The sequence below is a fragment of the Homo sapiens genome, chromosome 5 (assembly GCF_000001405.40).
Source record: "Homo sapiens chromosome 5, GRCh38.p14 Primary Assembly".
NCBI classification, from domain to species: Eukaryota; Metazoa; Chordata; class Mammalia; order Primates; family Hominidae; genus Homo; species Homo sapiens.
Window position 1 is genome coordinate 38,984,364 of NC_000005.10, and position 13,822 is coordinate 38,998,185.

At 34.9% G+C, this 13,822-nt stretch overlaps 1 protein-coding gene across 11 annotated transcripts in view; it reads right to left on the bottom strand.

The window, feature by feature from the left end:
- RICTOR (RPTOR independent companion of MTOR complex 2) overlaps positions 1-13,822 on the bottom strand; it is a 136,480-nt gene that overhangs the window by 46,444 nt on the left and 76,214 nt on the right. For all 11 annotated transcript variants that reach the window (NM_001438249.1, NM_001438049.1, NM_001438247.1 and 8 more), the window contains 2 exons: positions 12,456-12,519; positions 6,586-6,712 (listed from right to left, as the gene is read on the bottom strand). In NM_001438249.1, the coding sequence (NP_001425178.1) occupies positions 6,586-6,712; positions 12,456-12,519 (191 nt within the window). The remainder of the gene's footprint in view (positions 1-6,585; positions 6,713-12,455; positions 12,520-13,822) is intronic.

Consider the following 13,822-nt stretch of genomic DNA (forward strand, 5'->3'; position numbering starts at 1 on the left):
TACTGGTTTTTCTCCATCTGCTTAACATGAAATGGATTTTTTTTCTTCTTTTGGTATTTCTTGAGTTATACTGGTTCACTCACTTATTTTTTGCTTAATTATAATGAGCTTTCTAATGAAAAATTATCTTTGAGTATAGCTTTCTAGGCATCCAGGCAGTCCTACAGACTGGTGCACAGTCAAGTTTTACTACATATTTTTTAAATTTCCCTAATCACAGTTCTGACTCTGTCTTTAAATCAACAAGTATTGTGGTCTTTTTAAAAAATCCTCAATGGTAGGTTTTGGTTCTCTTTTTTTTTAGCTTAAACTTTTGTTATCATTTATCACCTCAAGAAGGAATGTAACCAACACCATTCCTACTTCAGGTGGCAAAAAAACATCTTTTCTTGTGACTTAAAATTATATTTCTTTGATAATAAGTGAGGTTGAACTTTTAAAATATGTTGTTGTTGTTGGTGGTGGTGGTGTTTTGATACAGACTCTCGCTCTATCACCCCAGCTGGAGTGCAGTGGCGAGATCTCGGCTCACTGCAACCTCCGCCTCCCGGGTTCAAGCGATTCTCCTGCCTCAGCCTCCCAAGTAGCTGGGACTATATGCGTACCTTTTTTTTGTTTGTTTTTTAGTAGAGACGGGGTTTCTCCATGTTGGTTGGCCAGGATGGTCTCGATCTCTTGACCTCGTGATCCACCCGCCTCGGCCTCCCAAAGTGCTGGGATTACAGGCGTGAGCCACCATGCCCAGCCTAAAATATGTTGCTTAGCCATGCATTTCTTTGAGAATTACAGCCATCACTCTGTATCCACAGGGAAATGGTTCTAGGACCCCCGATGATACCAAAATTCTCAGATGCTCAAGTCCTTTATATAAAATGGCATAGTATTTACATATAACCTATGCACATCCTCTCATATGCTTTAAATCACCTCTAGATTACTTACAATACCCTACAATGTAAACCCTATGTAAATGGTTATACTGTATTTAAAATTTTTTTTTTCTCTAAATGTTTTAGAACTGCGGATGGTTCAATCCACAGATGTGGAAGCTGTGGATATGAAAGGCCAACTGTATTTGTTTTCCTATTGGTTTGTATATAAATAAATTACTTATTTTACTTGTTACATTTACCTTTTTATTGGATTGTTCTGGCACTGCTTGTTTTTGTGACTCCTTATAGTAATATCTATAGCTGCCAAAATCCCTGTGTGATTTCTTTTGATAACTCAAAACTCCTTTTCCTTCCAATGATCAGATAAATATTCATCCATGTTCCCCACTGGCCCCAGTTTTTTCCCTGTTTAGCCCTTTCATGCCTTTGCACCTACAATTCTATTTTTTTTTTTTTTGAGACGGAGTCTCGCACTGTCACCCAGGCTGGAATGCAGTGGCGCAATCTCGGCTCACTGCAACCTCCGCCTACCAGGTCCAAGCGATTCTCCTGCTTCAGCCTCCCGAGTAGCTGGGATTACAGGCGCATGCCACCATGCCTGGCTAATTTTTGTATTTTTAGTAGAGACAGGGTTTCACCATATTGGTCAGGCTAGTCTCGAACTCCTGACCTCAGGTGATCCGCCTGCCCCCGGCCTCCCAAAGTGCTGGGATTACAGATGTGAGCCACCACACCTGGCCTAGAGTTTATTATTTTTAGGCATAATGGATTGTTTACTGTTTTTAACCCACATCAAGAATGATTTGGTTTGGCTCTGTGTCCCCACCCAAATCTCATCTCAAATTGGACCCACGTGTCGAGGAAGGGACCTGGTGGGAGGTGACTGAATTATGGGGCGGTTTTCTCCATGCTGTTCTCGTGATAGTGAATCTCATGAAATCTGAAGGTTTAAAAGTGACACTTCCCCTTCGCTCTTTCTCCTGCTGCTACGTAAGACATGCCTCACTTCCATTGCCTTCTGCCACAATTGTAAGTTTCCTGAGGCCTCTCAAGTCATGCAGAACTGTGAGTCAAATAACCTTTTTTCTTCATAAATTACCCAGTCTCAAGGAGTTCATAATAGTGTGAAAATGAACTAATACAAACATACAGAATAACTAATGTTAGAGAGCCAGACTTTAGTAGATTCTATAATATTACTGGAATTTAGACAATTCCTATACTAAATTTAATGATGAAGAAAAGTTTAAAATTTATAGAATTTTAATGTCGCATTGAAATTATTTGTTAAATAACAAGTTCTCCACTTCCCTACCAGAAATGTACTACTTTTTCACATTTTTGGAACAATAAAGAATTCATGCATTAAAGGCCTCAAAAATGTTATATATCCAATCACATCATCTGCAAACAGAGACAATTTGATTTCTTCTCTTCCTATTTTAATACCCTTTATTTCTTTCTCTTGCCTGACTGTCCTGGCCAGAACTTCTAATACTATGTTGAATAGGAGTGGTGACAGAGGGCATCTTTGTCTTGTGCCGGTTTTCAAAGGGAATGCTTCCAGCTTTTGCTCATTCAGTATGATATTGGCTGTGGATTTGTCATAAACAGCTCTTATTATTTTGAAATACGTTCCATCAATACATAGTTTACTGAGAGTTTTTAGCATGAAGGGGTGTTGAATATTTTACTGAAGGCCTTTTCTGCATCTATTGAGGTAATCATGTGGATTTTGTCATTGGTTCTGTTTATGTGATGGATTATGTGTACTGATTTGCGTATGCTGAACTAGCCTTGCATCCCAGGGATGTGGCCAACTTGATCGTGGTGGATAAGCTTTTTGACATGCTGCTGGATTTGGTTTGCCAGTATTTTATTGAAGATTTTCACATCGATTTTCATCAGGGATATTAGCCTGAAATTTTCTTTTTTTGTTGTGTCTCTGCCAGGTTTTGGTATCAGGATGGTACTGGCCTCAAAAAATGATTAGGAAGGAGTTCCACTTTTTCTATTGTTTGGAACGGTTTCAGAAGGTGTGGTACCAGCTCCTCTTTGTACCTCTGGTAGAATTTGGCTGTGAATCCATCTGGTCCTGGGCTTTTTTTGGTTGGTAGACTATTAATTACTGCCTCAATTTCAGAACTTGTTATTTTCTATTCTTCTTCTTGGTTTAGTCTTGGGAGGGCGTATGTGTCCAGGAATTTATCCATTTATTCGAGATTTTCTAGTTTATTTGCGTAGAGGTGTTTATAGTATTCTCTTATAACAGTCTGTATTTCTGTGGGATCAGTGGTGATATCCCCTTTATCATTTTTTATTGCACCTATTTGATTCTTCTCTCTTTTCTTCTTTATTAGTCTGGCTAGCGGTCTATTTTGTTAATCTTTTCAAAAAACCAGCTCCTGGATTCATTCGTTTTTTTTGAAGGGTTTTTCGTGTATCTCCTTCAGTTCTTGTTTGATCTCAGTTATTTCTTGTCTTCTGCTAGCTTTTGAACTTGTTTGCTCTTGCTTCTCTAGTTCTTTTAATTGTAATGTTAGGGTGTCGACTTTAGATCTTTCCCGCTTTCTCCTGTGAACATTTAGTGCTATAAATTTCCCTCTAAACACTGCTTTAGCTGTGTCCCAGAGATTCTGGTATGCTGTGTTTTTGTTCCCATTGGTTTCAAAGAACTTATTAATTTCTGCTTTAATTTCATTATTTACCCAGTAGTCATTAAGGAGCAGGTTGTTCAGTTTCCATGTAGTTGTGCAGTTTTGAGTGAGTTTCTTAATCCTGAGTCCTAATTTGATTGAACTGTAGCCTGAGAGACTGTCTTGATTTCTGTTCTTTTGCATTTGCTGAGGAGTGTTTTACTTCCAAGTATGTGGTCAATTTTAAAGTAAGTGTGATGTAGTGCTGAGAAGAATGTATATTCTGTTGATTTGGGGTGGAGAGTTCTGTAGATATCTATTAGGTCTGCTTGGTCCAGAGCTAAGTCCTGAATATCCTAGTTAATTTTCTGTCTCGTCGATCTAATATTGACAGTGGAGTGTTAAAGTCTCCCACTATTATTGTGTGGGAGTCTAAGTCTCTTTGTAGGTCTCTAAGAACTTGCTTTATGAATCTGGGTGCTCCTATATTGGGTGCATATATATTTAGGATAGTTAGCTCTTCTTGTTGTTTTGATCCCTTTACCATTATGTAATGCCCTTCTTTGTCTTTTCTGATCTTTGCTGGCTTAAAGTCTGTTTTATCAGAGACTAGGATTGCAACCCATGCTTCTTTTGCTTTCCACTTGCTTGGTAAATATTCCCCCATCCCTTTATTTTGAGCTTATGTGTGTCTTTGCACGTAAGATGGGTCTCCTTAGAAAACCCCATCGTCTCAGTGCAAAATCTCCTTAAGCTGATAAGCAACTTCACCAAAGTCTCAGGATACAAAATCAATGTGCAAAAATCACAAGCATTCCTATACACCAATAATAGACAGAGAGCCAAATCATGAGTGAACTCCCATTAACAACTGCTACAAAGAGAATAAAACACCTAGGAATCCAACTTACAAGGGATGTGAAGGACCTCTTCAAGGAGAACTACAAACCACTGCTCAAGGAAATAAGAGAGAACACAAACAAATGGAAGAACATTCCATGCTCATGGATAGGAAGAATCAATATCGTGAAAATGGCCATACTGCCCAAAGCAATTTATAGATTCAAAGCTATCCCCGTCAAGCTACCACTGGCTTTCTTCACAGAATTGGAAAAAATACTTTAAATTTCATATGGAACCAAAAAAGACCCCATATAGCCAAGACAATCCTAAGTAAAAAGAACAAAGCTGGAGGCATCATGCTACCTGACCTCAAACTATACTACAAGGCTACAGTAACCAAAATAGCACGGTACTGGTACCAAAACAGATACATAGGCCAATAGAACAGAACAGAGGCCTCAGAAATAACATCATACATCTACAACCATCTGATCTTTGACAAACCTGACAAAAATAAGCAACGGGGAAAGGATTCCAATCTATTTAATAAATGGTGTTAGGAAAACTGGCTAGCCGTATGCAGAAAACTGAAACTGGACCCCTTTCTTACACCTTACACAAGAATTAACTTGAGATGGATTAAAGACCTACAACCATAAAAAACTTAGAAGAAAACCTAGGCAATATCACTCAGGACACATGCATGGGCAAAGACTTCATGACTAAAACACCAAAACCAATGGCAACAAAAGCCAAAATTGACAAATGGGATCTAATTAAACTAAAGGGCTTCTGCACAGTAAAAGAAACTATCATCAGCGTCAACAGGCAACCTACAGAATGGGAAAAAAATTTTGCAATCTATCCATCTGACAAAGGGCTAATATCCAGAATCTACAAGGAACTTAAACAAATTTACAAGAAAAAAACAACCCCATCAAAAAGTGGGCAAAGGATATGAACAGACACTTCTCAAAAGAAGACATTTATGTGGCCAACAAACATATGAAAAAAAGCTCATTACCACTGGTCATTAAAGAAATGCAAATCGAAACCACAATGAAATACCATCTCACCCCAGTAAGAATGGCGATCATTAAAAAGTCAGGAACCAACAAATGTTAGAGAGGATGTGAAGAAATAGGAACGCTTTCACACTGTTGGTGGGACTGTAAATTAGTTCAACCATTGTGGAAGAAGAGTGTGGCAATTCCTCAAGTATCTAGAACCAGAAATACCATTTGACCCAGCAATCTCATTACTGGGTATATTTACAACTCATTGTACTATAGAGGCACATGCACACATGTGTTTATTGCAGCACTGTTCACAATACAAAAGGTTTGGAACCACCTCAAATGCCCATCAGTGATAGACTGGATAAAGAAAATGTGGCACATATACACCATGGAATACTATGCAGCCATTAAAAAAGGATGAGTTCATGTCCTTTGCAGGGACATGGATGAAGCTGGAACCTATCATTCTCAGCAAAATAACATAGGGGCAGAAAACTAAACACTGCATGTTGTCACTCATAAGTGGGAGTTGAATAATGAGAACACATGGACACAGGGAGAGGAACATCACACACCGGGGCCTATCAGGGGTCGGGGGAGGGACAGCATTAGGAGAAATACCTAATGTAGATGACAAGTTGATGCGTACAGCAAACCACCATGGCATATGTATACCTATGTAACAAACCTACACATTCTGCACGTGTATCCCAGAACTTAAAGTATAATTTAAAAAAATACATATATACGATATATACACGATATATATACGATATATATACGATATATACACGATATACACGATATATACACGATATATATGATATATACATGATATATACGATATATATGATATATATACGATATATGATATATATATCTGACATATATCAGATATATGATATATATCAGATATATATCAGATATATCATATATATGATATATATCAGATATGATATATATGATATATATCATATATATGATATATATGAGATATATGATATATATGAGATATATGATATATATGAGATATATGAGATATATGATATATATGAGATATATGAGATATATGATATATGAGATATATGAGATATATGATATATATATGATAGATATATGATAGATATATATATCTCAAATGTTATATATCCTTTCTAAAATATTACATTTTCATTACTTGAAGAAAATTCTGACCTAGTTCACAGATAATGGCAATGCATGCTCGGACCATTCTGTCTCTTTCTTGAAGTCCATCATTTCCAACTGCAATTAATGAGTTGGTCACAGAACTAGGAAACAAGGAAGCATTCACAGTAATCATCTGTAACAGAAGGAATCAGAAAAAGAAGTTACTTTAGTAATACATTTCTTAAACCTATTTTGTCCAGACTGAAGTAGTTAATAACAGAATAAGATCCAGAATAAGATCTAGGTATCAATTTTAATCTTTTGCTTATGGATATTTCAAAAGATTAATATAACTAATAATTGATGTAACAAATGTTAATAGCCATTACTATGGAAAATGTGTTAGATTTTTTTCTAACAGTACAGACTATAAATTCACTGACCAAATGTTTCTGAGATTTTAAATTACTCTAGAATAGGGCCTAAATCTTAAACAGTTTTTCAGTACCTAGACAAGGTAAACCAGAGGGGACAATAGTAGTCAATATACTACTGTACTTTTACGATCCTGACCAACTCTCCATATACCATCATCACCAAGTCCTACCAATTTACTTCCATAACATCTTTATCTCTACTCCCCTCTCCTCATGAAATTAATTGATTAACTTGGGCCCTCACTCTCACTCTGACTACTGCAATAGATATCTAATGATCTCCTTACTCTCTAGTCACCTCTCCCATCAATCACTTGTTGCTATACCAGAAAGCAGAGTTCATAATCCAAATCTATTTTTAATATTTCAAAAATCCTGATGGAAATATATTGTAATAAAATTTTGTATGAATCTCACATTAAAGATCTAACTGGCAGTAACATTTGGAATATTGAAAACAGGTAACATATGTCTTTGATTTGGGAAACAGAAAATTATGTAGCTAATTACTGTTTAATAAATAAAGACTATTTTGCAAATTAATTCAAAATAGCAGGTTACTGGAGTGGAAATAAAATATTTTGTTTGTATAGTAATAAAATATTAGAGAAAATTAATTTGACCCAGATATTACTAGATTTATTGTCCTGTTGATAAAATAAAACTTGTGAGATGAAACAATTAGAGGATGTAATATAACTAATGAAAGACACACAATTAAGTCTTACAGAAGATCAAAAGAAAGATCTGTTTGATCAGTAGTTGTAAGTGGTTTGTCATTTAAACAGCATTTTTAAGACATATTACAAAGTTCACCTGAAATTACAGAATACAGTTCTACAAGCATAAATCAAATACATCTCCAATAACTGTAGAATCTACAAAAGCTTTCATATTCATTTCTAAGTCAGTTTTTTCAATTAACTGAAAAAGGAGAGAAAGAAAGGGAGAAGGAAGGAGGTATAGGAAGTATAGGAAATCAATCTTCCTGGGTGAAAGAATTCTAACATCTTATGTCGGTAAGTTCTTTTTTAATACTTTCTGATTATTATTATTCTTATAAGGAGCTTATGAGAAAATTTCTCCAAACAGCAAAATGCATGTAATATATTCTGTAAAGAGCTGGCTGAAAAAACCGGCAAAATGGTTTTTAGAGTTAAGTCTGCTATAATAAACTATGTTACCTTGGCTAAACCAATCCTCTCTTGTGCCTCAGTTTCCTCATTTGTAAAATGAAGATATGTATGAACAGATGATTTCTAAAGTTTCAAGTATAAAATTCTATATAAATCTTGTGTCTACTAAACATATACTTAATTCACCAGATTGTGCTATGAAATATATACATAAAATTTTTACAAATAAAATCACTCTTCTTATTTTCCAGGTAAATATATGCAAAGAAACTCTTAAATTGTGTGTAAATCAGAGAATGCTTTCCTCATAAATCAATGAATGCTCAGTAAGGGAGAAGCCATAAAATGCAGTCACTGTTAAAACTGTAAAAGTTTAATAATCTCTTCTGGCATGACAGGGCAGACATATAAAACAAATTAAAGATCATGATTAGGTAATAAATTTGTGGAACTGACACAAAGGAATTAGAGAAGCACTGAGTTACCTAAGGGGAATATCTAATATTTGAGCTCAGACTAGAAGATCGATGTAAGGTGAGAAGGGCTGAAAATGAAGAGTAGGAAGGAAGTAACAATTGTGGTAGTAGTGGTGGGTAGTTTGCCTACACATGGTGGCAAAAGACATGTCAGATAAAAATAGTTGGCTGGACCAAAACTGGGCTCTGAAGGCCAAAGTTGGCAGGTTGAACTTCAAACTCATGGGCCAATGTAGGTTTGGAAATTTTGCAGAAGAGGGTTCTTGCTCTGGCTTTGCCACTATCTTGCTATGTATCAAGGGCATGAGATACCAGCCAATGAATCTCTTTCAAATGTAAAAAGTTTGTGGAATTCCTTATTACATGAATAAAGAAACTATATATGAAAAAAATGACAGCTCAAATTAGGTGGGCAGCGAGTAGAATTTAAATAAGATTAAGAAAAGAATAGTAGTAACTGACTAGTGGAAAAATTACATTAAAAATGAGGGAGATAAAGCCAGAAAAGAGCTGCCTGCATTGGAAGGGGGAGAGAGAAGGGGGAAATCAGAGACATGGAAAAGAAAAAAGCAGACAGAACATTTCCAAATGAATGAGATGGGTAAAATAAGAGAAAAAGTAACATAAGAATTCCTTAATTATTCATAGTGTAAGTTATCCTAAAGCAAAAAATGTTTTTCCTTATCCTTTAAAATATAATAGACATACTTTTATTAGAAATTTTAAGACTCTTGGGAATTCATACAAAAAAACTCAGTGATATAGTAATTATAATATTAAATATTAATTTATACTGCAGGTTGAGCATCCCTAATCCAAAAATCCAAAATGCTCCAAAATCAAAAACTTTCTGAGACTGACATGAGCCAGAAGTAGAAAATTCAGCATCTGACAACTTTGCTTTCTGATGGTTCAATATACATAAACTTTGTTTCATGCACAAAATTCTTAAAAATATTATACAAAATTGGCCAGGCGCGGTGGCTCACGCCTGTAATCCCAGCACTCTGGGAGGCCAAGGCGGGCAGATCACGAACTCAGGAGATCAAGACCATCCTGGTTAACACGGTGAAACCGCGTCTCTACTAAAAATAAAATAAAATAAAAAATTAGCAGGGCGTGGTGGCGGGTGCCTGTAGTCCCAGCTACTGGGGAGGCTGAGGCAGGAGAATGGCTTGAACCCGGGAGGTGGAGCTTGCAGTGAGCCGAGATTGCACCACTGCACTCCAGCCTGGGTGACAGAGCGAGACTCCATCTCAAAAAAATATATATATATTATACAAAATTAACTTCAGGATATGTGTACAAGGTGTATATGAAATGTAAATAAATTCTGTATTTAGATTTAGGTTTCATTCACAAGATAACTTACTGTGTATACACAAATATTCCAAAACCCAAAAAAATACAAAATGGGAAATAACTTCAGGTCCCAAGCGTTTTGGATAAGGAATACTCAACCTGTAGTACAGCTGCCAAGGTTTTACTAAAAAAAAAAAAAAAAAAAAAAAAAAAAAAAAAGTGCTTCAGATGCCAAAAGCACTAATGAAATTATAGTTTCTCTGGCCGATAGAGGCCACTGTTCGTTCAGCAAATGTGCTCTCACTCTAACCCTTTTAGCATAAACCAAGGAAAAGCCCTGTGCCACAATTCTACCGCTGATTCTATATCCCACCACCAAATATCAGCAATTTTCCTGTTCTAGGATTCACAAATGGTATGTGAGTCAACTACTCTGCATCTCAGAAGACAATCAAATGAAATGATATTTTTGTTATGCTATTATTTTTGAGCAATTAAAAACTACTTTAAATTAAATTTTAACTTATGCAAAAATACAAAATTGAAGTAAAACATTTACTAAAATATCCAAAATTGAATTTAATTGTCTGAATCCATTTGAAATTGTCTTTTCTTCTGACAGCAGTCTCTAAAGCGGTTATGCTCAAAGTGTAGACCAGGAAATTCTGAGGGTCCTTAAGATATTTTCAGAGATTCTGCATAGCAATACAAAGACATTATTTGTCCTTTTTACTCTTATTTTCTCACAAGTGTGTACTAAAGTTTTCCGGGGGCTCCACCGCATGTGTTATCAAAACAGACTGAATGCAGAAGCAAATATGATAATCCAATTGACTCGTTTATCAAGACAAAATTAAAGAGAGTTGCAAAACTCTAAAACAATAGCCCTCTTCTCATTAATTTTATTTTTTGGAAAATATAGTCATTCCTAAGTGCCCATCAACCAATGAGTGGATAAAGAAAATGTGGTATTATACACTATGGAATATTACTCAGCCATAAAAGCAATTGAAATAATGTCTTTTGAAGCAACTTGGATGGAGCCGGAGGCCATTATTCTAAGTCAAATTAACTCAGAAATGGAAAACCAAATATTGTATGTTCCCTGCTTATAAGCAGAGCTAAACTATGAGGACACAAAGGCATATGAATGATATAATTAACTTGGGGACCAGAGGTGGGGGGAGTTTGGGAGGAGGTGAGGGATAAAAAGATTACATACGGGGTACAGTGTACACTGCTTGGGTGACAGGGGCACAAAAATCTCAATCACCACTAAATAACTTATCCATGTAACCAAAAACCACCTGTACCCCAAAAATTATTGAAAAAATAAAATAAAATAAAATATGGTTTTCATAAAAATGTTATTTATATTTGTATTTAATGTGTTTATTATTTTAAACATATTAATATATATTTTAGTCCCTAACATTATAAATACTGACATATAACCCAAATAACCAAAAAATTGTTCTAGGTTCTTCAGAAACAAATTTTGTTTTATCTTGAATTCTCAGTCATGGAAGAAGGAAGAATTGTATAAATAAAAACCATAGATTTTTAAAATCTGAATTTGAAAAGTCAAATTACAATCCTAGTGTAACAGTTCGCCTATAACAAGAGTCTCCTAATCTATTTCCGGTATCATTCTTAGTCGAATTTCAAACTTCTTTTAAGGCTTAACTCATCCATTTACTTGTTCACCTGTGAGTACTATTACTATTACTAACCAAAAGGTAGACAATTTTAAGAAAAGGGAAAAACAGGGAACCCTAGCTAACATAGAAATTGAACAGTACACCATTTTGGAACCTGTGTACTGAGTTGAAAGATAGGAAGAGAAAAAAAGAACTAAAAAATTCAACTGGAAAATATTTTTAGATTTTTTATGCAAACAAACATATACTTCATGATTCTCATGAACATTAAGATAAAATATGACTGACACTTGTCTCACTCAGGCTGTGTCCCAACCATATTTACTCTCAGTTCACTCTCTTCTTCCACCATTAGGGTATCAAGTAAAAACAACAAAGCATTCCCTGAAGGCCTCTCAAGAGAAGCATTATGGATTGTCCTTAACACCCTCTCTTGTGGAGTGTAGGCTGTGACCTTTTATCCTGTACAAGGGCCTGAATTGTTTATTGCAACTGCCCACAGATTGTATCCAAATTCACCTTTAAAACAATGAACTTCTTAGTATTTGTGACTTCCATTTAATACTATTAACTCTAAGTATGCAATTAAGAGAAAATCAGGATGGGGAGCAAGTAATCCTCTTCCTCTAGTAACTTATCAAAGCAGTAACTACATTTACATGTCTACTGAAGGAAGAAATATTCTTCAAAATAAACATTTTATAAGAAATATTGCCCTACCTATACCCAATCACATAGAATTCCACAAAATATTTGTTTACCTCAAAGTTTAATGAATTTATTTAATATAAAACTTTAATAAAAATGTTTAATAAAAGTTTAGTCTTTAATCTTAATAAAGATTTCACAAAAGTCTAATCTAAAAATGTAAATATTAACATAAAAACCATAAATTTGCCTTTTACTCTCACACATAGAGCATACCTTTCTGACTAATCGAAGTGCTTGTGTCCTCTCTACCTCGTTGCTCTGTTGTATGTCAATGCACCTAAACAATACACAAAATATTAATCATTGATAAAATTCTATTAAACAACTTTTTGTATCACAATACTGATAGATGAAACCCATTTTCACAATGTCAATATGGTATATTATTGTTTTGGTATATGATTTCTCAGTACCAGCATATATTTATTTAATTAACCCATACATCTCGAGGGATAAATATCTGTCATTTAAAAGACCAATTTTTTCTTTTAAAACGTTAGGAAAGAACAGTATAGTAATTTACAAGACTACATCTATTCATAAAGAAAGAATAATAAACATAAAGTGTAAAAAGTCTACTAAAAAAATTCACTTATCTCTGATAAAATTCAGACATTTTATAAAAATTGTAAAGGAAAAATAATTCAAGGCTGTTTTCATTTAATTGCAATTTTGACCAGGGCTTAAACTAAATTAGGCACTATCCATAAAAATTCTATCTTACCAAAATATAATTTGAATTCTGAATTCACTTCAAATATTGATGTCCAAACAAATAGCACCAAACTGACATTTCTTTGTAAAATTTATTAAATTATCCAGTTTTGAAAGTCTTTTATGTAGAAGCATAATTTTTATTTAGACAGTTCATTATTCTAATCAATGCTTTATATATAGATAGTCTGTGATTCAAAAAGCATTTCTTCTATCTGAATACAATTAATCTAAGGCAATCCTATTAAAATTCAAATGGACTTAGAATTCCATTCCTGGCCATGTCAGAGATGAGAGGTTCTGACTGTCTTCCCAAAAACAACCAAGAAGATTTAAAAAAAAAAATACTTTACAGTATAAAACAACTGTTAAAAGGGCAATGAAGAATAATCCCTGAAAAAAGAAGCACAGGGAGCTCCACATTCAACCACATTTGTTCCCTGGGTGCATCTGTCAATGTCAATCCCTGGTCTTACGGGCAGAGTCCTAACAGAAAGCAGAAATCTGGCCGTACTGAAAAGACAGAGGTTTAACTTCAGGGCAGCCAAAGTAGCTGGGACTTGAGGGGTAAAATCCCTGAGAGAAGAAAACAGAAGAAAGTGAGCTAAAATCTGCATGCAGTGTTCTCTCCAAGACACTTGTCAACATCCACATTGTGCAAAAGCAGAATTACACTCTAAGAAACAAAGGAACAGAGTATAGATTTCAGCAGAAACACAATACTCTAAGAAATAGGTAAAGGTTCAAGACTGGTTAAGGTGAAAAGATTCTGCTCAATATCTACACTCTGAGATCCTAAATAGCCACTGCTAGGAGCAAAGGCAAATCTAAAACCAAACTTTAACAGAATCAGTGTAATAAACCAA